General features: G+C 38.7%; 1 protein-coding gene and 1 long non-coding RNA gene across 8 annotated transcripts in view; one reads left to right on the top strand and one right to left on the bottom strand.

The window, feature by feature from the left end:
- Nucleotides 1-27,813, bottom strand: part of ATRNL1 (attractin like 1) — an 855,635-nt gene that overhangs the window by 18,191 nt on the left and 809,631 nt on the right. The gene's annotated exons all lie outside the window — the stretch shown is intronic.
- On the top strand, nucleotides 11,659-25,855 carry LOC105378497 (uncharacterized). Its single transcript, XR_001747597.3, has 4 exons — nucleotides 11,659-11,726; nucleotides 16,067-16,169; nucleotides 17,730-17,821; nucleotides 25,776-25,855. It is a non-coding gene; the product is annotated as an uncharacterized LOC105378497 (long non-coding RNA).

Below are 27,813 nucleotides of genomic sequence, written 5' to 3'. Positions count from 1 at the left end.
AGAGTTAGAATAATCTGCAAAGATGGAAAGTCAGTGTACAAAAACACATTAACTCATAATGCTCATGCCCAGATGTTTACCATCCACCAGTATGACTCTTAGTTGTATATTTACTGCAGTCTTTGTACGAGATTTTAAAAAATGTTATCTTTAAAAATGTTGAGTGAGATGCCTGAGATAAAATGTGGCTATATCTTTGTGCAGAATCACTCATGTGACCAAAATTGACCCAGTTGAATATTTTAGCTAAGCCAATTATACCCCAAATTTGATTTTCATTCAAATAAAACCAATAGTTGAATTGTAGGTGGCTGAATTGCCTGGCTGTTGGACTGAACTGTTCAGATCAGTATCAGTTATGATGCCCTTCATGGGATGTATGACTAGTTCTGAAGCTTGTGTATGGCTAGTTCTGAAGTTTATGGGATGTATGACACGTTCTGAGGCTTATGATCCGACCTGAAGAGGTTTACACTACAACTCTGAGCATGGTCTGTATTCAGATGTGCAATCAAACATGACAGAAGCAACTTCTGGGGAAGGAAAAAAACCAAATAAATCTCTAGAATGACTGTGGTTAAAAACACATTGTTTGGTAATTTTAAGTAATTTGGGAAAAGGCCTGCTTAGAAGAAATAAACAAGGCATACAATGTCACATTAAGATAATGTTAAAATACAAAGCACCGGCATTAAAGTGTGAATTGGGTGTAGCTTATCAACCATAGCTACAGCCCCAGAGTTCAAGTTCAGAGGAAATATTTCCTAAACTTCCTAGAAGGTCAATATTTTAATATGTAAGCATCTATACCACATTCTTTGGAAAGATTTTAGGAACTGCACCATCAAATTTCAAATGGTGCTTCTTTCACAGGTTGCTTAACCTTCCTCAAACATTTAGATTGGATTAGTATTTAAAAAGTAAGGTGAACTTAGAAAAAAACATGTTTATATAGGAAAGCAATCTGTTCAACTTCCCATCTTTAACATATTGACATATGTTTTGTTCTAGTATTAGTCAAAATTAGCTTTGAGATAAAAGTTCATACTAATTATCCCATAATGTAGCCTAATCACTGCTGACATTTTGAAAGAAGATGTTAAGGCAGCCAAGATAAAAACTAAAAAGTGGGTGCAAAAATATTACACATGTTCATCACAAAAATTATAATGGTCCTCCGTGAAGTTATTTTTTCTTAAAGTACAATCTGAAAGTGACCATGTCTGGAGGATGGATAAACTCATTGGACCCTCTGACCTACTCCAGCCTTGGGTTCCTTCATACCTGGCATGTCTCTGGTTTGTAGGTAGATAAGCCAAAAACATTTTGGATATGTTTCAGTTTAAATTTTATTGTTTTGTCCATTTTTATGACTTTTAATATGACATAAATATAAGATAGGATGAGTCAAAGGATTTATGCTTTAGTTTTCTCTTTTTCAGCTGAAATGATTAGACCCAGAATTAAGTGAACATTAACTCCAATCAGGCATTACCTTCAGAATTTGATGAACCTTGCAAATTTTGATGTTAAAAATGAGAAGTGTTTATTATTACACAAATTCCTAAATACCAGTTAAGAAATAAGTGTAATCAAACATAGCATCTATAAATTTTTCCTTTTTAAAAACATAAATTAGCCCCTACACTTTGTTTATTTAGTCAATATAAAAAGTTGAAATTTCCCCTTGTTGAAATGAGTAAAAATGCAATTATGATGCAAAAATCAAAAGAAAACACAGATTTTGATTCTCTCATGTTTTTCAGGATCAGTATTCAAAATGGGCTTTGTGAATAGTGAACACTAAAGAAGAACATAAGGATTCAGTGAGTTTGAAAATAACTTTGTTTTGGACAATCACATTGAAGTGAATTTAAATAATCTTAAAAGTATGAGAGAATCAAATTTAAAGGACATGTTTCTAAAATCATTCTTAAAATCTTATTCCCAGTAATAAAGGTGCTTTTCACACCCACAAACACAGATACATGAAACACTGATTAAGTCCTATGAACCAAGAAGTTGAAAAATATTTTATCATATGTATACTGGTACTCTTTGTATTATCAATATGAACAGAAGCAAAATACTTCTCTATTTAAAAAAAATCTGTTTTACTTCTGGTTTTGATCAGAATATTCAAACAGGAAAAAGATAAGAAAGTGATCACCAAAAACTGAACCTGGGACCCTTGGTTTGAGATAATTAACTAATCAATAGACAATTCTTCTCTTCAGGGAATGCATAGAAACAGACATTTATTCAGGAACTTTTCAGATTTTCATACAAGGTAATTAATACAAGCTTCACTATAGACAATTACATTTTAATGACTTTCTGTTCAAATTACATGAATTTTATGTAAGGAAAAGCTTATGAAGTCTAAGATTTTCTTTCCACCCAAGTTATTAAAATCTGTGTTTGAATATAGTTCCTTTCATTAACATTAAATCAGTTAGCTTTAATTTATAAAAAAGGACTGCTAAGTTTTACCACAATAGTTTGCACAGCTTTAATTTGCATTCATGAAAAAACACAATAAATTAATTTGCTACTTGGAACAAATTTGACAAATGCATTAATCATAAAGAAACCAAACTCAGTTTTCTTTACTCTTTCTCACAAAGATAGATGTAAGATACGAGACTACTGATTTAGCATTCTTTAAGCAAAATGAGATGTAATGATAATAATGAGGATATTCATAGCACTAGAGAATTGGAGAGCTGGAAGGAGCCTTAGAAATTTCCTGGTTTAACAAATGGGAAAAGAGCAATTCAGTCTCCCAAACAGTCCATAGAGCCAAATTCTGAAGAGGGATTATTTTCATTTTCTCCATTGGAAACCACCACAAAAATTAGACTTTTTCAAGTACTGACTAGTTTGGCTTTGAAATTACTTTGGTTCTTCCTGAACCATACTACTTCCTGTCCCTAAGGTTTTGAGAGCACAGTTTGAGCTCAGAGATTATGCTAAATCATAACATGAAAATTTAGGTTTTTTAACAAATAGCATGAAAACAGCACTAAAACGATTCCCAACACCTACACTGTGCACTGATTCTCTTGACAAGTCAATAAAATATTGTCAAACACATTTACAAGTTTGTATCTCTGTGAAAAGGTTTGGATAAAGAAGCATTTAACAGTAATATACTGTATTGCAAATATTTCTCTTATTTGCTAGTTGTCATTTCATGCTTATTTATTAAGCTTCAAACTTTTGCTTTTATATATAGTTGAAGCTAAAGATCATCTTAATGTTTATATGGTGTTTGGAAAGGACTTCCCTACTCTTAGATCATAGCAAGATTCTCCCATGTTCTCTTCTAATGGTTTTTTAAAATTTAATCTTTTGGTATTATGAAGAAAATTCAAAGGAAGTTACTGAAAGCAACAGTAATCACAGTATTCTTAGCAAATGTTCAAACATTATTAATCATTTTTGAATGAAATAGAATTCTACCAGTTTTCAAAGGGAATGCTTCCAGGTTTTGCCCATTCAATATGATATTGGCTGTGGATTTGTCATAAATAGCTCTCATGATTTTGAGATATGTTCCATCAATACCTGAGAGCTTTTAACATGAAGGGATGTTGAATTTTATCAAAGGCCTTTTCTGCATCTATTGAGATAATCATGTGGTTTTTGTCTTTAGTTCTGTTTATGTGATGGATTATATTTATTGATTTGTGTATGTTGAACCAGCTTGCATCCCAGGGATGAAGCTGACTTGATCGTGGTGGATACCTTTTCTGATGTGCTGCTGGATTTGGTGTGCCAGTATTTTATTAAGGATTTTTGCATCGATGTTCATCAGTGATATTGGCCTAAATTTTTCTTTTTTTGTTGTGTCTCTGTCTGACTTTGGTATCAGGATGATGCTGGCTTCATAAAATGAGTTAGGGAAGAGTCCCTCCTTTTCGATTGTTTGGAATAGTTTCAGAAGGAATGGTATCTTCTGAAACCCTCTTTGTACCTCTGGTAGAATTTGGCTGTGAATCCTTCTGGTCCTAGACTTTTTTTTGGTTGGTAGGCTATTAATTACTGCCTCAATTTCAGAACTTGTTATTGGTCTATTCAGGGATTCAACTTCTTCCTGGTTTAGTCTTGGGAAGGTGTATGTGTCCAGGAATTTATCCATTTCTTCTAGATTTTCTAGTTTATTTGCATAGAGGTGTTTATAGTATTCTCTGATGGTAGTTTGTATGTCTGTGAGGTCAGTGGTGATATTCCCTTTATCATTTTTATTGTGTCTATTAGATTCTTCTCTCTTTTCTTGTTTATTGGTTTAGTTATGGTCTATCTATTTTGTTAATTTTTTCAAAAAACCAGCACCTAGATTCATTGATTTTTTGGAGGGTTTTTTTTGTGTCTCTATCTCCTTCAATTCTGCTCTGATCTTAGTTATTTCTTGTCTTTTGCTAGCTTTTGGATTAGTTTGCTCTTGCCTCTCTAGCTCTTTTAATTGTGATATTAGGGTGTCCGATTTGAGGTCTTTCTAGCTTTCTGATGTGGGCATTTAGTGCTATGAATTTCTCTGTTAACACCACTTTAGCTGTGTCTCAGAGATTCTGGTATGATGTCTCTTTGTTCTCATTGGTTTCAAAGAACTTCTTGATTTCTGCCTTAATTTCATTATTTACCCAGCAGTCATTCAGGAGCAGGTTGTTTAGTTTCCATGTAGTTGTGCAGTTTTGAGTGGATTTCTTAATCCTGAGTTCTAATTTGATTGCACTATGGTCTGAGAGACTGTTATGATTTTAGTTCTTTTGCATTTTCTGAAGAGTGTTTTACTTCCAATTATGTGGTCAATTTTAGAATAAGTGCCATGTGGCACTGAGAAGAATGTATATTCTGTTGATTTGGGGTGGAGAGTTCTGTAGATGTCTATTAGGTCCACATGATCCAGAGCTGAATTCAGGTCCTGAATATCCTTGCTAATTTTCTGTCTCATTGATCCGTCTAATATTGAAAGTGTGTTAAAATCTCCTACTATTATTGTGTGGGAGTCTAAGTCTCTTTATAGGTTTCTGAGAGCTTGTTTTATGAATCTGGCTGCTCCTGTATTGGGTGCGTGTATACTTAGAATAGTTAGCTCTTCTTGTTGAATTGTTCCCTCTACCGTTATGTAATGCCCTTCTTTGTCTTTTTTGATCATTGTTGGTTTAAAGTCTGTTTCGTCAGATACTAGGATTGCAACCCCTGCTTTTTTTTTTCTTTCTTTCCATGTGCTTGGTAAATTTTCCTGCATGACTTTATTTTGAGCCTATGTGTGTCTTTGCACATGAGATGGGTCTCCTGAATACAGCACGCTGATGGTTCTTGACTCTTTATCCAATTTACCAGTCTGTGTCTTTTAATTGGGGCATTTAGCCCATTTACATTTAAGGTTAGTATTGTTATGTGTGAACCTGATCCTGTCATCCTGATGCTATCTGGTTATTTTGCACACTAGTTGATTCAGTTTCTTCATAGTGTCATTGGTCTTTATATTTTGCCCTCTCTCACCATTCTTATGCAACATAGTATTGGAAGTTCTGGCCAGGGCAATCAGGCAAGAGAAAGAAATAAAGGGTATTCAAATAGGAAGAGAGGAAGTAAAATTGTCTCTGTTTGCAGAGGACATGATTTTATATTTAGAAAGCCCCATCATCTCAGCCCCAAAACGTCTTAAACTGATAAGCAACTTCAGCAAAGTCTCAGCATACAAAATAAATGTGCAAAAATCACAAGCATTCCTTTACACCAACAACAGACAAGCAGGGGGCCAAATCATGAATGTACTCCCATTCACAATTGCTACAAAGAGAATCAAACACCTAGGAATACAGCTAACAAGGGATGTGAGGGATCTCTTCAAGGGGAAGTACAAACCACTGCTCAAGGAAATAAGAGAGGACATAAACAAATGGAAAAACATTCCATGTTCATGGATAGGAAGAATCAATATCGTGAAAATGGCCATACTGCCCAAAGTAATTTATAGATCCAACGCTATTCCATCAAACTACCATTGACATTTTCACAGAATTAGAAAAAACTACTTTAGATTTCACATGGAATCAAAGAAGACCCTGTAGAGCCAAGACAATCCTAAGCAAAAAGAACAACGCTGGAGGCATCAGACTACCTGACTTCAAACTATCTTACAAGGCTACAGTAATCAAAACAGCATGGTACTGGTACCAAAATAGACATATAGACCAATAGAACAGAACAGAGACCTCAGAAATAACGCCACACATCTACAACCATCTGATCTGCCACAAACCTGACAAAAACAGGCAATGGGGAAAGGCTCTCCTATTCAATAAATGGTGCTGGAAAAACTGGTTAGCCATATGCAGAAAACTGAAACAGGACCCCTTCCTTACACCTTATACAAAAATTAATTCAAGAATGATTAAAAAGTTAAATGTAAAACCCCAATCCATTAAAAAAACCCTAGAAAACCTAGGCAATAACATTCAGGTCATAGGCATGGGAAAAAACTTCATGACAGAAATGTCAAAAGCAATTGTAACAAAAGCCAAAATTGACAAATGGGATCTTATTAAACTAAAGAGCTTCTGCACAGCAAAAGAAACTATCATCAGGGTGAACAGTCAACCTACAGAATGGGAGAAATGTTTTGCAATCTACCCATCTGACAAAGGTCTAATATCCAGATTTTACAAGGAACTTAAGCAAATTTACAAGAAAAAAACAACCCCATAAAAAAGTGGCAAAGTGTATGAACAAACACTTCTCAAAAGAAGACATTTGCACAGCCAACAAATATGTGAAAAAAGCTCAACATCACTGATCATTAAAGAAATGCAAATCAAAACCACAATGAGATACCACCTCACACCAGTCAGAATGGTGATTGTTAAAAAGTCAAGAAACAATAGATGCTGGTGAGGCTGTGGAGAAACAGGAACGCTTTTACACTGTTGGTGGGAATGTACATTAGTTCAACCATTGTGGAAGACAGTAGGCGATTCCTCAAGGATCTAGAACCAGATATGCCATTTGACCCAACAATCCCATTACTGGGTATATACCCAAAGTAATATATATCATTCTACTATAAAGACACATGCACATGTATGTTTATTGTGGCACTATTTACAACAGCAAAGTCATGGAACCAACCCAAATGCCTATTAATGATAGACCGGATAAAGAAAATGTGGTACATATACACCATGGAATACTACACAGCCATAAAAACGAGATCATGTCCTTTGCAGGGACATGGATGGAGGTGGAAGCCATCATCCTCAGCAAACTAACACAGGAACAGAAAACCAAACGACACATGTTCCCACCCATAAGTGGGAGTTGAACAGTGAGAACACATGGACACAAAGTGGGGAACAACACACACCAGGGCCTGTTGTGAGGGGTTGGGCGCGAAGGGAGGGAACTTAGAGATGGGTCAATAGGTGCAGCAAACCACCATGGCACAGGTATATCTATGTAATAAACCTGTACATTCTATACCTGTGTCCCAGAACTTAAAGTAAAATTTAAGAAAAATAGAATTCTAATTTTTGATCTACTACATACATATATACATACATGTTTTGTGTATATATGTGTATGTACATATATTTTGTTACTGGGTTACATGAAGATGTTGATACAATAATTTAAATCAGGAGACCACCTCATTAGAGCCACTTCACTATCATTAGAAACACTGCAATCCTTCAGCTAAGGCTTGGACAAGAAAATACTGTAAGAGACTACAGAATAATCTTTTAAAAATTAAAAATCTTTTTGAGATGCATACATTACGTTGATTCATGGAAATTATTCATATTCCTTTACGGTGGGCTAAAGTAACACTGATATCTTAGGAATAGGAAGAGAATAAGCCATCTACTACCTCACCATGCATGGGTATTTTCCTTGTGTTAAAAATTCTAAATTCTTTTGATCCCACTGGGTCTTTGTTTCTATAGAAATAAATTTATTTCTTCTCCTCTTAACATATTGCTCTTTCCTCTATACATTGTTGTTATATGAAGAACTTGCCTTACTTATTTTCTTATTAGTTTTTAAAATTTAAAACATGTTCTTACGCTACTACATATGTCAGATTGGAAAAGTCAGCACTGATGGAGTATTTCTGCTAAAGATAATCTTAACTGACTTTTGAAAACGAAAACTATCCCACGCTTCCCAGGCTGAGTACAGTGATTCATGCCTGTAATCCCAACACTTTGGGAGTCCAAGGTGAGAGGATCACTTGAGCCCAGAGTTTGAGGCTGCAGTGAGCTTATGACTGCACCACTGCACTCTATCCTGGGTGACAGAGCAAAAACCTGTCTGTAAAAAAAGAAATTAAAACATAATAAATAAATAGCTAGCTAGATAGATAGAATGAAAACTATCCTGGTTGCTTATTTATATATATGAAAGGATTTTATTATTTTATCTTAAGTATATTTAATTTTTCTGGGTTACTCATGATCAGAAAATTTAAATGACATGAAATTTTAGCTAAGTGACTACATGCAAACCACCCTTCCTCTGCTTTATTAAAACATACAGATCCCTGTTGACAAATGATAGTTTTCCTAAAAGACAAGTATTAAAATAAAAATATTTTCCCTTACTCAGACAATGTCAAACTGTCCATACGCATCTAGACAATTTCTTCACTTCAAGCAAATCTTAGTGCTGAAAACCAGTGAACGTGGGGGCAGGGTTCAGAGTAGTTTCAGGCCCTGGTCTGGCACCTCCTTGACCTACAGCCCTGGGTGACGAGGCTGGCAGCAGTCTCAATGGCTGAGCTATCCTTCACCCTACAACTGGAGGTGAGTCAACAATCCCTAAGGCAGGGAAGCTGACTAATGTTTAAGAAACATTTTCAGTCATAGGTTTGAAATACAATTATTTTTGGTTAACTCTCGATTAGTCACAATATTAAGTTAATCTGTTTTTATTTTCCAACACTTGAAAATGTGGTGTTACAAAAAGGTTATGTAAATTGGGATAATCCCATGTAAAAATGAGTGGGTTCACCAACACTTTACGCTAACACAATTTTAAAAAAAGATTAGCTACTGCATGAAGTGAAAGTGACTAACATGGTATTTCTTCTGGGATTAATACTGGGTATACTTAGGTGTCTCTACTACTTGTTCTCAACACCTGAGCAATCTCCTTAAGAATCAAGCCCTAACAAAGAAGAAGAGCTACAGCTAAAAGGTAAATTTGGGCTGTATTATCAAACTATCATACAGTGAAAACCAGAAATATGGGGGTAAGAGGTGTAAAAGAATTTAAGAACCTTAACAGTTATTGTAACTGGACTCTCTTTTCTCATCCTTTAAAAAAGGTGCTAATTCCTAGAGTTTTCTTCTTTATCTTTTTAAGAAAACTGCTTTATAGAGGCATGACTGACATACAAAAAGTTGTACATATTGCTTTTTTATCCTTTAATACATTTTAGTTCACATATAAACTTCTGAGACAAAAAAACACTGCTTAAATACAACCTATATCCATATCCTTTAGACTATCTATAATTATTTTTTTCTCTTTTTGTCATTTATTCTTCCTCTGTCTCTTTTTAAACCACCCCTTTTAGTCCCTAGCTTCCTTTACTTTCAAAAGCAGGTGGTGTGATTGCTGGTATTTGACATTTTTGATTAAATAATAGCATTATCTAAACCATCTTCTATTCTTCAGGGACCTCCTTTCGTGAAACTCCAAAAATGTCTTCTAAAATCTTCCTAATGCTATCTTATTCTGTGAGCAACTTAGACTGTCATATCATTATTTGATACTGTAGAAGGGAAGGAAATTTCAGATGATTTCAATAACCATTTCTGTTATTGTACTATTTCTAACTTCTCATTTTAGTTCACAGATAATTTCCATTTAAATGTCTTCTATATATACATTAGTTATAGAAATAAGTGCTGATATTTTGATACTTCTTAACTTCTTCTTTCTCTTAAAAACTGTTTTTTGCAATTTTAGTGTTAATATCTACGTAATACTGGGTTTAAACGACTTCTTTTTATGTGTACTGACTAGAAGAGCTCCTGCTTTCATTAATGGTTCCGTCTAATGCTGTGAAGGTGATTGTTGTAAAAGACACAGTAAAAATGAATCCAGATTTTGGTTAACCAGGCAAGGTCATTTCAAGGGACAGCTTAAATCTATTCCATGCACTTTTGGGCTCCTCTTCTTATACAAATTCCCCCTGGGGACCTTTAGCAAATGAGTCTCATGCCAGATCTGGCTAGATGGATTCTTGTGCCTCTCTTAGATTCTGGGTGTCTATAACACAGGTAAACAATTATATTATTCCCTGGCAGGGAATGGGTGAGTGTCTCAGAATTACAGTCTTCATGTTACTCTTGCCCACAACCAGTCATTTGCTACTTCTTTGGAGGTGTTTGTACTAGCTCTGGCTTTCCTGGTCTGAGTTCCATGAGTAGCAGCAATGATGACAGAGGTGAGGACAGAACACATTTTACCACAACTTCACGTGCCTGATAAGATCAGAATAAACTGGTAAGGCAGAGTTTAGAGTGACCTGCTGGATATCCGTGAAGGTGAAAATAAAGAGAGTTCAAAATGTGTTTGTTTACAAAACCACGAGTCTAACATAACATGGGCATGGAGTAGTGGGGAATAATGTGACAAGAATGCTGTCCATGAGTCTAGATTTTGAGTTGTTAGGAAGGATGAGACTGGACTTCAATGAGAAGAGGATACTGGGGTACACAGGCAGGTGAGCAGACTCTTAAAACAACTATAAATTTCAATTTACAGGGTTATTGAGTGAATATGTCTCCCCCAAATCCACGTGTTGAAATCTTAGCCCACAATGTGATGATATTAGTAGGTGGTGCCTTTTGGCGGTGATTAGGTCGTGAGGGTGGAGCCCTCATGAATAGGATTTGTGCCCTTATAAAAGAGATTCTAGAGAGCTTTCTCACTCCTTTCCACCACGTGAGAACACAGTGAGAAGACAGTATCCATGAATCAGCAAGAAGGCCCTCACCAGTCACCAAATCTTCTAGCACCTTGATCTTCGAAGCCTCAGCCTCCAGAATTGTGAGAAATAAATGTTTGCTGTTTAAGCCACCCAATGATGTTTTTGTTGTAACAGCCCATGGACTAAGACTATATATATATGTGTATGCATATGTACATATGTATACATATATGTATACATAATATTAATTATATATACACATTCAGTATGGCATCTATAGCACAGAATGTTAATACCTTCATCATCATTTTATCTGAAGAAAACCAGTCAACATTCACTGTGATTTTTAAATTTTGCAGTTTTTGATGATAGACTTAGTAGGAAATAGACATGTGGGAAGTTTCCAATATGCCTTCTGTACCTATCACTGAGGAGCTCTGAGCTGAGATTATAATGAGTAGAGCTGTATTAGAAAACATTCTCCATTCTGCTGCACTTCCTCCGGGCTGAGTGAACACGCCGTTTCTTACTGAGTATGTTTTATTTAGCATTTCAGCCAGCTTTCCAATTTAGCTAACTTTCAGGTTCTCTTGTTAACTTACTTACTTGTGTGCCCAAGTAGAATTGGAACACCTCTTTTGCATAATCACAATCAGTAGAATTGGAACACCTCTTTTGCATAATCACAATCTGTTGACCCCTTATCTTTTGAAGATCTGATGCACAAACTCAGGGCAATGCTGGTTCCCAACTGGAACTGTGGACCTCAGTGGTGGTATTTCTTCTTCCTATGGGGTTATGTCTGCGAAGTTTTATTGCTGAGTCAGGGCTTTGAGATGGGTTTTATTTATGTCTAGAAGTTTTATTGCTGAATCATCTTAGGCATTCACAGTCAAGTTCTTAGGTTTGCTAGTTATTTGGAAATATTTTACATCCTTATAATGTGAAAGAATTTGCAGATTCCCACTGCAGATCAGCGGTATTAAACACTAAGGAACAGTTATTACCTCTGCCTATCCAAATTCTGTTCATCCCTTCAGACCTAGATCAAGACCCAGCTTCACCAGCAAACTTCTCTGATTATCAAAGACTACACTAAAATTTCTCTCCTTCTGAACTTCTTTAGCACCTAAAGCCCATACTACACAATTTGACCACTGGTGGTTTTGTTGTTTATTGCTGTTTTAGCAGTTACCACTGAAGAGGTTCTGGCTGTGTGTTTTATCCCCTTTTGCCATTCCCAAATCCCTAACCCCACTACATCTCTACTATATAAACACTTATTGGTGAATTCTAAAAATTCTAATTATTTCTTTAAAGTTACTGAAATAATTGCCTTGAAATTATTTAAACTTTTCCTGGGAATTTCTTAACCTTATATTCCACAAGTAATGTAGCTAGCACTACTTCTAGATCTGTACAACTACTTAGAAGGCAAAGAAAAGACGCTAAAAAGGCCGGACGCGGTGGCTCATGCCTGTAATCCTAGGACTTTGCGAGGCCAAGGTGGGCGGATTACCTTTGGTCAGGAGTTCAAGACCAGCCCGGCCAACATGGTGAAACCCCGTCTCTACTACAAATACAAAACAATTAGCCAGCTACAGTGGTGCACGCTTGTAATCCCAGTTACTCGGGGGGCTGAGGCAAGAGAACCTCTTGAACCTGGGAGGCGGAGGTTGCGGTGAGCTGAGATCGTGTAATACACTCCAGCCTGGGCTACAGAGCAAGACTTGGTCTTAAAAAAAAAAAAAAAAAAAAAGACACTAAAAAATAGATTGCTGTAAGCTAGGACACATCACACAAATCTGAGATTTTTTTTTATTTTGCAGCAAGGCAATAAACATTTTGAAATGGAGTTTAAACATGATACAAATCTTATTTCTGGGACCTCTTATTTACTATTTTAACAATTATTAGAAACAGAATTTTACATAAGAAAAGCCAATCAACCAAAGAATACTTGTTAATAATTACAATAGCAGTGACTTTTGTTGCCCCTATTTATTTTGTTACTTGTTTACATGGAAAATACCAGGTGAGGGAGTGCTGAGCCGGCCTGAAATACTGTAGTAAGAATCAAGCCCTGCAGAAAATTTTCCTTGGAGCATTATTATGAACAAAATGTGGTTAGCATGAATATCTTCAATATCTGAGAAAAGTAAACAAGAATTTTTCCTTCAAAATATTAATCACATATGAGCTTTTACTCCATGGTAAGGATGTTATCCATTTAAATAACCTCTCTCGTTGAAAACAACACAAACAAAAAACCAAAAACCACTACATAGTGAGCAGACGTTTTGCTCGCTTTGTCTAATGTAGTCCACATGATCACTCTAAAAGGTGAATATCATGGCCCCGTTTTTTTTTTCTTTTTTTTTTTTTTTTGAGACAGAGTCTTGCTCTGTTGCCCAGGCTGGAGTGCAGCGGTGCGATCTCAGCTCACTGCAAGCTCTGCCTCCTGGGTTCACGCCATTCTCCTGCCTCAGCCTCCCGAGTAGCTGGAACTACAGGTGCCCGCCGCCATGCCCGGCTAATTTTTTGTATTTTTACAACACAGAGACGGGGTTTCACTGTGTTAGCCAGGATGGTCTCGATCTCCTGACCTCGTGATCCACCTCAGCCTCCCAAAGCGCTGGGATTACAGGCGCGAGCCACCGCTCCCAGCCGGCCCCGTTTTAGAGAGGGAGAAAGTCAGGATCCAGAGAGTGCCCAAGGTAGCACAGCCACTAAAGTGGCAGTCAGAGTTAGACGCCATCTCAAAGCGCTGACAAGGTTCAGCATTGGCAGTGTCGCCACATTTCTGATTTGGACTGTACGACCTGTAAGGCTGTATATAGCAGCTCTCTTCACTTGTATTGCAAAAGTGAAAACTGGGAACTTAATTTTTTGCGCCACGCCTAGAGGCAGTTCCTGACAGGGGGCCAGTCCTGAGCCTGGTCCTCCTAAGCAATATAAATACCCAGACAGAAGGAACAGGGAGGTGTTGGAAGCACGGATTCTGGGTATCTCAAAGTGGGATACAGATAACTTTCTCTTGGTCAGAGAAAGAGCTCCCAGTAAACAGAAGGCCCTGAGCTCCCAAGGCTGCAGCTTGTATCAGCACTGAGAAGTCTGGACAGACACAGAGTAGTTGGGGAGTTGGATGTCTGGCAGTCTACACTGTCGGGATCTCTCTCCTAAAGAAATATTCAAATAAGACTTTCATGAATTCTAATGCACGTGGGATTACACAATGGAAATGAGTACAAAAATAGGATGTGCTTTACAGAAATTTATCGTGCAGCCAAGTGCTATAACCTATATAGTCCATGAGGCGAGGGAGAGCTGAAATCATAGCACCATGTTCCCTGTCTGTGCAAGTTCACTTGCTTTAAGCGTTGTATTTACAGCCATTTTGCTTCTTTGCCTCTGTGTTGGTGCATGACCAATAGACCGAGACTATTTCAAACAAAAGGTCTCTGAGGGCAAGGCTATATTGACTTGACTTGATGTGTGGAACAGCAGACAGAGCCCAATAGGCATTGTAGGAATTTATAATGTTACTTTGGGCTGCTAATTACGATTAGGCTATAGCTTAAATCTGAAGCAATTCCGCAGTAAAGTTGAGACCACAACATGGAGTCATTGCCTCCCAGCAGTCACAATCCAATATGTGGTGCATGAGTATGATGCTGCAATTTTAGGGAAGGTGACTGCCCTTTAAGATGGTCCATTTAAACTGGAAAGCATTCTAGACAAATTCGTGAGAAGGAGCTGACTCACCTATGTGCCTGCAAATACTTTAAAACTATACTTTAAATGATGCTTTGCTTTGAACAGATCACTGGCCCAATTCTTCCCTTTCTCTGAGTCTGTAACTCCCATTGAAATCAATGAGAACTGAATATTCAAAAGGGACCAGAGAACAAAGTTGCAGGTTGAATTAATGGGATAAAGGAGTGCAGATCTCTTAAAGCCTGTGCAATTAAATTGTGGCCTTATACAATTCTCCAGGGTCACCAGCAATTTGCTGGCCTAGGAAAGCCAGCTGACTTCACTTTCAGAGGTGTCACAATTTATAGCATGCATATTCTTAGACATTAACGCATGATCCTTCTTAGCTCAAAATCTACCTCCTCACTCTAATCTCTTTAGAACCTGATACTTTGGAGTCTGGGATTTCATTCACATGTCCTTATCACCAGCTAAGATAATCAATCAAAAGGCAAGATGTTCATTTAAAAGTGCACAGCTAAGCACATATGGATATATTATTTTTCTATACATACATTAGTTTATGCATCTTATCTATATATATACCAATACATATATTTATATATACCTATGTATGTTAATTATCTGATGTCTTTCCCAACTAGAATCAAAGTTCCAACTGACAAGAACTTTGTCTTATTTAATCATTATATCCTTAGCACTTGGCTTCATTGTAACTGTCAAAAAAAATTTTTTTTTTTTTTGAGATGGAGTCTCGCTCTGTTGCCTAGGCTGGAGTGCAGTGGCGCGATCTCCGCTCACTGCAAGCTCCGCCCCCCAGGTTCATGCCATTCTCCTGCCTCAGCCTCCCGAGTAGCTGGGACTACAGGCGCCCGCCACCACGCCTGGCTAATTTTTTTGTATTTTTAGTAGAGACGGGCTTTCACAGTGTTCGCCAGGATGATCTTCATCTCCTGACTTCGTGATCCGCCTGCCTCGGCCTCCCAAAGTGCTGGGATTACAGGTGTGAGCCACCGCACCCAGCCATAACTGTCAAATATTTTTGATCATCAAGACATTTACAAACATATTTGACTAGATATTCGTAATGCCACAAGAATAATATTTCAGTAATTCTCTTAAATGTTTTTTGTCCAAAGAGAAAAACAGTATCACTTACTAACCATATATTGTATTCTAGTTTTTTTCCAAATACTTTTCTTTCTCAATAAATTTTTACAACAGTGGAGTGTGATGTCATATTTTTATATTTTTGTTACAAATAGTTTAGAAATGGAGGCTTAGAGAAATTAAACAACTTTGCCAAGGACACAGAACTAGGAAGGGGCACAGTAGAAGTGTGAATCCTCTTCTGACTGCAAAGCCCATACTCATTTCCCTTATCTCACTTCCTAACAGTTGAACAATCGGGAAAAGAAACATAAAATGGAAAGGTCTCCACCAGTCAACCGTAAGAAACAGTGATGACTATGATGTAGCCTTCAGCATGGGGAAGTACCAAGTAGGTGTCCAGATAAGCTGAAAGGCAATGAAGTGACAGGAAGGAAAGGTCTGGGACTGCCTCACCAGCAGAAATACACCAGGCACCTGGAAGTCCTTGCTGGTCACTTGCTCACTGCTCAGGGCAGGACCACTCAAGCTGGGTACGCATGTGGCATAAACCAGTCTCCATCTGCCTTGACTCAATTGGTGGCCTATTCCATACCCCCAAATCCCTGCTCTTTGGTCAACATGACCTCAGAATCCTATCATTTCCACAGGTGTAATAGACAACACCAGATTTCTTCCTCTCTATCCTATCCTTCCCCAGTGACTTTTGTCTTCCCTGATATACCACCTGTATTAGGTCATTTTCACACCACTATGAAGAAATATCTGAGATTGGGTAAATTACAAAGAAAAGAGGTTTAATTGACTCACAGTTCTACATGGCTGGGGAGGCTTCAAGAAACTTACAATCATGGTGGAAGGGGAAGCAAACACGTTCTTCTTCACATGGTGGCAGGAGAGAGAAGTGCCAAGTGAAGCAGGGAAAACCCCTTATAAAACCATCAGATCTCCTGAGAACTCACTTACTATCATGAGAACAGCATGGGGGAACTACCCCATGATCTAATCACCTCCCATGAGGTCCCTCCCCCAAAACGTGGGGATTAGAATTTGTGTTACAATTCAAGATGAAATTTGGGTGGGGACACAGGGCTAGGTCATATCACCCACCCCTCCCAATATCTTCATGAAGTGTTACAAATGCTAACCACATGTTCAATTTGTACCTATTCCCAAAACCTACATCAGGGTAGGTTGAGATGTCCCCAGTCACAGTTTGGGGGCATCCATGAGCAGTCTGGATAGCCCCAAAGGCTGTGGGCCACGCATTGTGACTCCATCTATGCTTTCTGCACAGGCTGACATTGTCCTACACTCTGGAGGCTGCTTCTATTGTCCTTAACTAGAACATGTGAGCAGTGCTGGGAGGAACAGCATTGTGTAACTGGAAGCTGAAAGCCATCTATGAGTTAGAGGCAGTAGTAGTAATAAAACCTACCATGTACTGTTTCCTCTCTGCCAGGTATTGCACAGATGATTAAATGAAATAATCCAAATAAAAGCTCACCATCCCTATGAGGTAGAAGCTGCTATCCCCATTTTATAGTTGAGGAAACTGTGGCTTTACAGTAGTTAAGCACTTTGGCTTGGGGTTTGCAACTGGCATGTGACAAAACTGGGCTTTGAATCAGGTCTTCTGGCCCTAGAGCTAGTCCTTTGACATAGGGCTACCCTGCAGGGGTCTGGGTGATTTTTGGAGCCACCTTTGGGGGCTGGTGTGGATGGGGATGATCAAAGGACTCAGGACTGTGTTGGTGGAGGACATCTGAATAATTAGGCAATTGGAATGTTTAAGATACTGAGGGCAGCTGGGGATATGAATGTTCTGTATGTGAAAAAGAATGAAAATTTGTAATCAGTTAAAATATTACTTTAGACACATACTGCAATTTAGTTCATAAAGTACTTTTGCAGCCTGTTATCCATCCCACTAATAGTTTTTTCTCTCCAGTGCCTGCATTCTATGCTACCAGCAGCAGCTGCCCTAGCTTCTTTACCACATCAACGTTTTCATACACATTATCTCACAATTTGTCTGCTAAGGTAGGTGTAAGGGACACTGTGGGGAATTGGGAGCTCTGGGCAGTCTAGCAACTTTGCCATGGCCACACGGTTAGTAAGTGGTGGCAGCCAGGTCTGGTCCTCAGCCCCATGCTCCCTCCCTGCCTTGTGTGGAGGAAGCCCCTTGTCACCCACCATTTCTACCATATGAAGAGTGATGACATTCTTCCAAGATTTCAGGAGAATTAATTGTGGTTGACATTTTGTGACATCCTTAAATATTCTTTGCATTATTATGATACAGCACAGAGCTTTGTGATAATTCATGGAATTTTTTTTTTTTACCATTCATCTAAGCTGTCAATTTTCTACTTTTATAAATCATGTTGTGTTGAGCATTTCTGTTTTGAGTATTTGACCAAATTTCTAATTATTTCCTTAAGGTAGATTCCTAAAAATGAAATTACTGAACCTGAATATGAACTCTTTTGAAGCTCTTGATACATAGCTCCAGTTACTTTTACTGAAAGACCTATCACACTGTTCTTCCACCAGCAGTATTTTTAAAATGTGCCTGTTTCATCATATGCACACACACACACACACACACACAAATATATATATATATATGTATTTCACTAATTTGACAGGTGAAGATTATTGTTTTAATATCTACTTTATTGACTACTAGTTAGACTACAGTCATTTTTATTAGTCATTAGTTTGTTTATCAAGTGCTCCTTTGTATATTTTGTCCCTTCATTGTATGGATATGTTAATTTCCTTAATTGATTTCTGTGAGCTTTTCCTATAATCAACAATCAATGGTTTATCATTTGTTTGTAAAATTTCCCTGGATTTCCCCCTTGCTTTGGTGGCCTTGTTGTATCTTCATTATTGATGATGACTTCTAGAACTAGGCTGCCCTGTCTCCTGTAGTTCTTCCCCCCAAATGCTTCCCGATGTCCCAATGTGTGGGAAACTGTTTAAGTCACAAGCCTGAGATTCAATCATTGAATAGTCTTGTGTTAGCGCATGGTGTAGTGGTGAGAAACATAGTACATAAAGGAAGCACACCATACGGGGGCTTCCTTTGAGCACAGAATGAGTTACTGAAATAATAGGCAGATGAAACAAGGAGGAACGGGGAGAAACACGGGATGGTGCATGGGAAAAGCAAGGCAGCAGCGGCTTGAGGGGAGAAAGTGGAGTTCATTTATCAGCATCTCCCTTGTGCTCTTCCTTGTGCTCTTCCCATGGCAGCTGCCTGCTAAGGGCTTGGTGGAGGATGAATAGATGGATGACCACACTCTTCTCTCCTGACTGCCACGCCCACCGGCTCTGTAACTTTAGATAAGTCAATTGCCTCAACTGATGAAATCGGGCCTCAATTTCATGATCTATAAAATGGGTTTTAGCCAGGCACGGTGGCTCACGGCTTTAATCCCAGCACTTTGGGAAGCTGAGGTGGGTGGACCACCTGAGGAGTTCGGGACCAGCCTGTCCAACATGGTGAAATCCTATCTTTACTAAAAATACAAAAAATTAGCTGGGCATGGTGGTGGGCACCTGTAATCCCAGCTGCTCGGGAGGCTGAGGCAGGAGAATCGCTTGAACACAGGAGGTGGAGGTTGCAGTGAGCCAAGATTGCACCATTGCCCTCCAGCCTGGGCAACAAGAGTGAAACTCCATCTTGAAAATAAATAAATAAATAAATAAAATAGGTTTTAGGCCGGGCGTGGTGGCTCATGTCTGTAATCCTAGCACTTTGGGAGGCTGAGGCAGTTGGATTGCCTGAGCTCAGGAGTTTGAGAACAGCCTGGGCAACATGGCAGAGCCCTCTATCTACTATAAATACAAAAAATTAGCTGAGCACGGTGGTGCCTGCCTGTAGTCCCAGCAAAGGCTGAGCCATGAGAATCGTTAGAACCTGGGAGGCGGAGGTTGCAGGGAGCTAAGATCGCACTATTGCACTCCAGCCTGGGCGACAAAGTGAGACTCTGTTTCCAAAATAAATAAATAAATAAATAATGAAAAATACAACGAGTTTTACACTGGGTTGTTGCCAAGATCCACTGAGATAACGAACATGAAAACAACTTGCAAACTAGAAAGCAAAAAACGAAATGTCAGTCATGCATTTTAGTAGAAGTTTTGCTGTAGTTATTTACTATCTTATAGGAAAAAAATATTGGCAGGCGGGATGAGAAGTTAGGATTTTTCTCAGAGGGTTACTCTCATTTCTTTGTGTGCCCCTGTCCCTGCTATGGTGTACATTCAAATGCCTCTAACAGGCAGGCACTGTAGTCATTTAACTTGATTTCTATGGTGACCAGCCCAGCCCAGTGAGTGAAATGTTTTCATGAGAAGTCTGTAGGAAAATTCTGTTCTACACACATATATATCCTGTATAGTGCATTAAAGGTTAGCATAAAATATTAATGAATGGCCTTTCCTTGCTTGTGTTGGGTGTGGCAGCCGGCTAGGAAATGCTTCACAGATGGGCTGCTGAGCACGGACTGCCTGATGAGCATGTAAGGAGGGTGGGGGGTGGCTCAGTTACTGGAGCAGCATGTATAGTGGTCAGGAGGTGTGACAGGGTGACAGGGCATGGCCTGGGTCCCAGAAGGCTTCTCCCCGATGGGGAGACAGGTGTTGACAAACACCACTTATTAAAAATTCATCCACTCAGAATAGTCAAATTGAGTGCCCTTGACACAGCATTTAAGAAGTAAAAGAGGTCTATGTAAAGGGTATCAAGACCAAGAGTGCAGCTGAGAATGTGGTAGCAGCAGCCCCTTTCCTCTGACCTTGTGGCTTTCACTCCTGTGGGTCTAGTCATTCTTCCTCCATATGGAGGTGACTTGGGGAGGATGTAATGTCAATGGCCCTTCTCAGGTTGGTTTCAGTTGCTTTCTTACCACCTAGTGGTGCTAAGGGATCAGGTGCATAAAAAGTGGAACTCTTCCGGAGTGCCAAGCCCTGTCCAGAGGTGAGAGTTCTCATGGTCTTCTCCTCCTCCACTCCTCCCCAAATCAGGTTGCAACATCCTCAGTAACAGCCAACTTTCAATTTATTTAGTTACTTCTAATGCCCATTGAGTAAAATGAGGACTCAGTTATTTGTGGGTATCCCATTTACTTTATTTAGGGAAGATAAGATTTAATAATGCCAAATTCCTAGCCTTCTGGCTAGGAATCACTGATCGCTACAAAGTTATCTCTGATTAACTGTATGTTGTAAAAGGAAACATACATTTAATCTAAATTTAAACATATTCAGTATATGTCCTCCCCTTTCTCAAGGCATGATAATTCTCCTTGGGAGTTCTAGAAAATCTCTCTCTAACACTGGCTGGCATTTGTCCTCCCACCTCACTTCGTCTTTTTTTTTTTTTTTTTTTTTTTTAACATTATCAAAGTGGAAAAAAGAAAAAAAACCATGAAGCTAACCTGAAGTCATGTCCTGTCTTCAGTATGTCTGGCGCCTGGCAAGCAGATCTGGTTTGGGGAGGGTGAGATGCAGTAGAAGCAATGGAAGGTGAAGCTGGAAGGTCAGGATGGGATCTGATTTGGAAGAGCCCTGTAGAGCTATCCTGAGGAGTTTGGCCTTTATCTCATAAGGGCTTTGTCTTAGCCTTGATGGCAGTTTAAAAATCAAATGAAATACTGATTCCTGAGCGCAGTCTGAAGTGGAAAAGCTGCCACTATTTGCATTTAATCTATAAAGAAACTGACGCATACAGAGATTAAGGAATATGCGGAGGAGGATATCACAGCTGCTAAGTGGCAGGTCTGAGTCTGACAAGTCTACGCCACTGTTGCTTCTGGTACCTTTAACTGACTGGGCATGAAGAGGAAGGGGAGGGGGATTGCGCCTAGGGGGAGAGAGAAAACAAGTTCACTACAGCTGTGTACATTATTATTTCACACAAAGTCTTGAATGAATTCCTTGCATGTGGCAATTCTCTAAAGAATATATGTATATTTTCTGAATAAACAGTAGTGAAAACCCAGAGGTAAAGATGGGAAATAAAAATGATGGGGGTGTGCAGGCATGACGTGCACATGTGCCTACATACACTGCTCTGCCCACCAAGGGTCTACTGCACAGGGCATTATTACCAACAGAATCAAAGGGAGGTAGTGAATCATATATTCCATGTTATTAGGTTTAAGAAAAAAGTAATGAGTAGGAAGAGAGGCAGCAGCAACTTTAGAAGCAGAATGTAAGGTGCATTAGGGAACCAGTAGCAGGAGCAGAGTGAGATGAACCGAATATACCTCTGAGAATAACTAACAGTGTGTGCTGGGCAGCAGCTTAGGTGCCCTGAGAAATCTGTTCTTCTAGATTTTGCCTTGTGCCTCTGTGGCAGGCAAAATAATGGCCCCTCAAGGATGCACATGTACTAAGCCTTGGAATTCTACATGGCAACAGGGACTTTACAGAAGTGATTAAACGAAGGACCTTCAGATGGAGAGATTATCCTGGACAACCTGGGTGGGACCAATGTCATCATAAGCATTCTTCAAAGGGGAAGAGGGAGGCAGAAGAGGAGGTCAGAGGGGTGCAGGGTGAGAAATCCACCAACCAGATCCTGCTAGTTTTGAAGATGCAGGAAGGTGGGCATGAACTAAGGAATGCAGGCAGCCTCGAAAAGCTGGAAAAAGGCAAGGAAACAGATTCTTTCCCAGAGCCCCCAGAAAAAAAAATGAAGCTTTGCAGATCCATTTTAGACTTCCGACCTCCAGAACTGTAAGGTAATACATTTGTGTTATGTTTAAAGCTGCCTAGGTCGTGGTAATTTGCTAGGGCCTCCTAAAAGCTCAGAATTGTACTCCATGCAGAGAAGGAGTCATGGAATATTCAAAATCAAGCAAGCAGCCGAAGGGTTCTGAGAGGTCTTATGTGTTCACGGAATCTACATTTTCTGTTCTCTGCTGTTTCTTGTAGGAAGTAGATCTCAAAATGACCAAATCAGAAAAATGAGAATTAGAAATAATTCAGGAATTTGCATGGTAATGGATAGGAAAAATAGCTATTACTTTTAAAAAGTGGATTACTTATAAAACTCATCAATAAGACGGTGTATGCTTTCTTCTTTGCCTTATTCAGTATAGCTAGTGTGTACAGAGAAGTAGGTAGGCAGCTTGCTGGTTAGTTTGTCAAGGATTAAAATGAAGTAAGTCCTAACAAGGCCTTTAAGACCTTCATCAGATCCTCTACATGTCATGTCAGAGTAAAAGGTACTCACATTAAATATAACATTTTATTATAAAATATTTTAAAATTTTTTTATAATTTTATTTTAAAATATTTGCTATAAGTATCTTATATAATGTATGACTGGTTATGATTATTCTGCAATGATCCTGCTTACTTGGGAATTCTAATGAAGTGAGCAATTAAACCTACAGACTGCAAGTGTATTGAAATGTGTATGAAAACTACATTTAACAATAATGTGGGCATTATATTACATGTTGTAGCTATTAAATTAAGGGATTTCTTAATTTTAATTTTGCAGCTTTCTTATTTTGGAGTAAAAACTTTGTTTTCATTCTCAAACATGTTCATAAGGCCCATGGCCTTTTGCTCATAGTGCTTGATGGATAAAGTAGTCCTGTGAGACGAAATAGCAAAATAGCACCTGCAACTAACTGAGCTCAACTGTATGAATGAGCACATACCGAAAGGGAAGAGTTAAGGTTACCATAGAAACTGTAATACAAAAATTCTGGAGCTAAATTATTACCAATCTCATCAGCTTGCTACCGCAGCTTCCTTTTTGATGATGATAAGCATTGTCATTAATGGGAGGCAGAATGGTACAAGGATCAAGAGAATGGACATTAAAGCAAAGCAATGATGAGCTCCAAGCTGGACTCTACCACTTAGAAGACGTGTAACTGTGGCCAGGTCACTTGGACTTTCTAGACCTCAAATTCCTCATCTAGGAAATGGGGATAATAACAGTACAGGTTGAGCATCCCTAATCTGAAAATTCAAAATCCAAAATGCTTCAAAATCTAAAACTCTTTCAGCACTGAGTTGACACTCAAACATCATATTTAAAGGAAATGCTCATTGAAGCATTTCGGATAACCTGTACCAACCTCAGGGGATTATAAAGATTAAGTGAATTAATATTTACAAAGCGCTGGTACATAAGTAGTTTTATATATAGGTTTCTGATTTTTTTTTAAAAAAAGTATTTGTTCAAAATTTACGAAGTTCAATTATATGGCCTTCACTGTAAAGATGAAGTCTAGGATATAATCCTGTACTCTAGGTGCTGAAATTCTAGGGGGAGGCATGTACTGGAACCCAGGTATGAATAAAGTAATACGAAAACTTTGAAGAAAGTAGTCAATTCTAATAATGAAAACTGTTTAACCCACTTACAGTTAAAATTGTTTAATGAAAATATCTTCAAATATTGAAAAATGAAATTAATCAGCAGATTTACTAAATGCCTATTTTGTCTGTAGGCCTGTATAATCTACTGTGATTGTTTTGAATAAAGGCATTTGTTAAGAGAGGAGGAAAACAAGACACAGAGCCTGCTCTGTGCCAGGGCCTTTTAAGATTTTCTTACTGAACTTTCTCAATCCTGAAACAAATTTTGAGGTATATATAATCATTCCCATTTTACAAAATAGTTACCTGAGTCTAAAATATGTTAAGGCAGAGAGAAATCTGAATCCAGATCAAATTCTCACCCTCAAAGCCAATTTTACTTTCGCCAAGCCAGTAGTTTTCAAACTTTATTAGCAGAAACCTAGCTTTAAAACAAAATCATGCATGTTAAATGTATTATTTTATTAGGGTAAATATAAGTTATAATTATAATTTTTAAAACACAGTCATAACAGTAAATATTTACTTGTTGTAAAGTCAATCAATGAGAATAATGTGGGTATAGTGATTAACATAGAATTTGGAAATCAAAGCTTATGGAAGTTAGTCACAGTTATGCTAGTCTCAGAGCTTGATTTATTTTTTTGTTATTGTTACATAGTATTAAGAAAACCCTGCATTGCACAGTTGTAAATTTTAAAAGAGTTTTAACAGTTCACCCTATAAACCAGGCTATTCTTCAACTAAGCTGATATAGAAGCTTGAATGACATGAGGAGGAATTAACTTCTCTTAAGTTCTTTTCATAAAAACAATTATTTATCAAGTCCCTCCTTTATGTTAGGCATGGGGCTGGATGCCAGGGATTCCATGGTGCTCATGACAGATGTGATTCTTGGCCTCCAGATGAGTGCTTTGAAAGGGGAATAACCAGGTTAAGAACATTTACTGGAGTAGACCATTTTCAAGAACATTTACTGGAGTTGACCATTTACACGGATGACTTTTTCCCATAAATACAAATGTATAGGGTCTAGTTAACCTCTTATGGAAAGATTTCTTTCCGTTGAATTTATATTCACAGGTCATAGATTCTGGGCATCAGATATAGCCTGACTGGAATTGTTGGAAGACTAAAACCAGCCAGGCACAGTGGCTCACGCCTGTAGTCCCAGTACTTTGGGAGGCCGAGGTGGGTGGATCACTTGAGCCCAGGAGTTCAAGACCAACCTGGGCAACATAGGAAGACCCTGCCTCTACAAAACTTAAAAAAAAAAAAAAAATTAGCTGGGTGTGGTGGTATAGGCATATGGTCCCAGCTACTCGGGAGGCTGAGGTACGAGGATCGCTTGAGCCTGGCAGGTTGAGGTTGCAGTGAGCCATGATTGCACCACTGTACTCTATCCTGGGTGACAGAGTAGGACCCTGTCTTCAAAGGAAAAAAAGACTAAAACCAATATTTTCTCCAACTACTCTCCTTTACTCACTTAGCACTCAATCTCTGCTACAGTTTTAGTAACCCTGGGCACTAGACTAATTACTTTAGTAGCTGGGGACTAGCTCACTTTCTCGTTTGGGTAAGTGCCAGGCCAATAATAATCTTGAGATTTTTAAGGATTTATTTTGAACTCTTTCAGACTTCAGCTGTAATTTATGAAGCACTGAAGGGACTACATCCATCCGAGTGATAGAAACTCCAGGCTGAAGCTGTTCAAGCAATCCTAACTCGTCTTATGTATCAATAACCCCAGTACCTGGCACTGAGCAATATCAAAAATTGGAGAGAATAAACTGTGGATATATATTTTTAAAATTTAGCTCACTAGGATAAGAGAATCTGATTGCAGACTTTATGTTCTTTGGACTTTAATTTGTAAAGTGATTGAATATTTGGACTTAAATTTCTCTCCAGGAATTTGAAAATGGTAGGGAGTTTGTATTCAAACTTAGGGCATCTTTATGTTGACAGTCGATTAAATATCTTAATCAGGTTGTTTGATCTCTACAACCTGTTATGCTGTCTTTTAGAAACATGACTATATATAATTTGAAATGGGGAATAGGAAATAGATTTTGAGCCTTGGCTACAGTATAGTCTTGGAGCTAATTTCATGGATGTACAGGTGTCATTAATCTCAGAGCTTGTGAGGGGGAAATCCACACTGTCTATAGTGATCCCATGGTGACTGCCAAAGCAGCATTAGTTGGCCCTGGGAGAATGGCCAGTAGGAGTAAGACTGTCTTGACAGGTTGCTGATCTCTTCTGAGGGCAACAGCCACACTGCAGGAGGAAAACAAACAGCTGAGAGTGGTGGCCTAAAAAGGTGCTAGTCAGATTTCCTGTGGAGGGGAGCACAGTTGACTCAAAACCCCAAATGCCACCCCTCTGGATCCAGCACCATGTGCGGTGCTGCCAAATTCTTCCAGGATGGTCCCAGCCAACCAATGCTGAGCCTGGTGGGAGTAGTGGTACAGGGTCCATTCCTGCCTGATGTGAAACTTTGCTGGCAGGTGATTGGCTTGAGGACTTTCCATTGGTCTTTTCAAAACTTTCTTAGAACTGCACCATGCTACCCAATCATTGTTCCTTCCTTTAGCCTTCCCCACACTGCCTCCCACAGGTGCCAGACTTACCTCTTGGTCTGAGGCCGTCCTTACTTACTCATGCTTCCTCCCTGTACCCTTCATAGGCATGTCCCCCAGTAAAGCTCTTGCACATTTCACCTCGTCTTGGTGTCAGCTTCTCAGAGGTCCTGAACTAACGCACTAAAAAATCTTAGGGGAATGAAAGGATTTTTAAAATGCAAAGTTAAAATGAAATGCTTATGGGATCTCCTTGCCACTGCCTTCTCCTTCTCCTCCAGCCCAAGTTCCTCTGGATACATTTTGCAAACCACTTCACAACATAGGAAGTATGGAGGAAAATGTGGTTTTACTGTGAGAAGAAAAATATAGATGATTCTTTAGGAAATTCTGACGAGAGCAGATGAAGGCTGAATTGGATCCCAAGACAGGAGAAGGTATTAAAGGTGATAAATATAAGACAGGGAAAGTCACACTTTAAGCTGAACAAAGAACTCTGGCTAAAGGATTTGAATCTCTTTTAGCTCCAAAGAAAGTTCCAGGTAAGGTTCTGAAGCAGGGAGTTTGTCATAGTTAAGAAAGGAAGCAATTAAAGTAAGAAAGTATCTTAGAAGCATTTTCCAGGTCAGTATGAATAGTAACAAAATTCCAGAGATAGTGCTAACCAGACAGGGGGAGGGAGAGACTGGAGGCAAAATATAATGCTCCTGAGCCTGATTTAAGCAGCTAAAGCAAAGTCCAGGCCAGGGAAATGGAGGGCAGTGGCAAGATACCACGGAGAGGTTTGTTACTCAGAAGACTGCTTGTATTTTTGAAGTACATTTTCAAAGGGTAAAAAGCAGTTTGAACTTAGCACCCACCAGATGCAAAATGAATGTATCAATATTTTAAAACAATATACAGCATGGAGAGCTAGTCACACTTTAAATAATTAATTCCCTGGTAATTAACCTAAGAATGACATGATAAAAGAGAAACTTCCCCAGTGTGTGTCAGATTATGTACATTTAAAATTTAAAACTTTCATAAGGTATACAAGGGGGCCAAGAGGATCACAGATTCAGAGGCTACACTGAAAAGTCAGAAGCAGTC

This window comes from Homo sapiens, chromosome 10 (genome assembly GCF_000001405.40).
Source record: "Homo sapiens chromosome 10, GRCh38.p14 Primary Assembly".
In the NCBI taxonomy this organism is placed as follows: Eukaryota; Metazoa; Chordata; class Mammalia; order Primates; family Hominidae; genus Homo; species Homo sapiens.
This window is presented reverse-complemented; position numbering and strand designations above follow the sequence as displayed.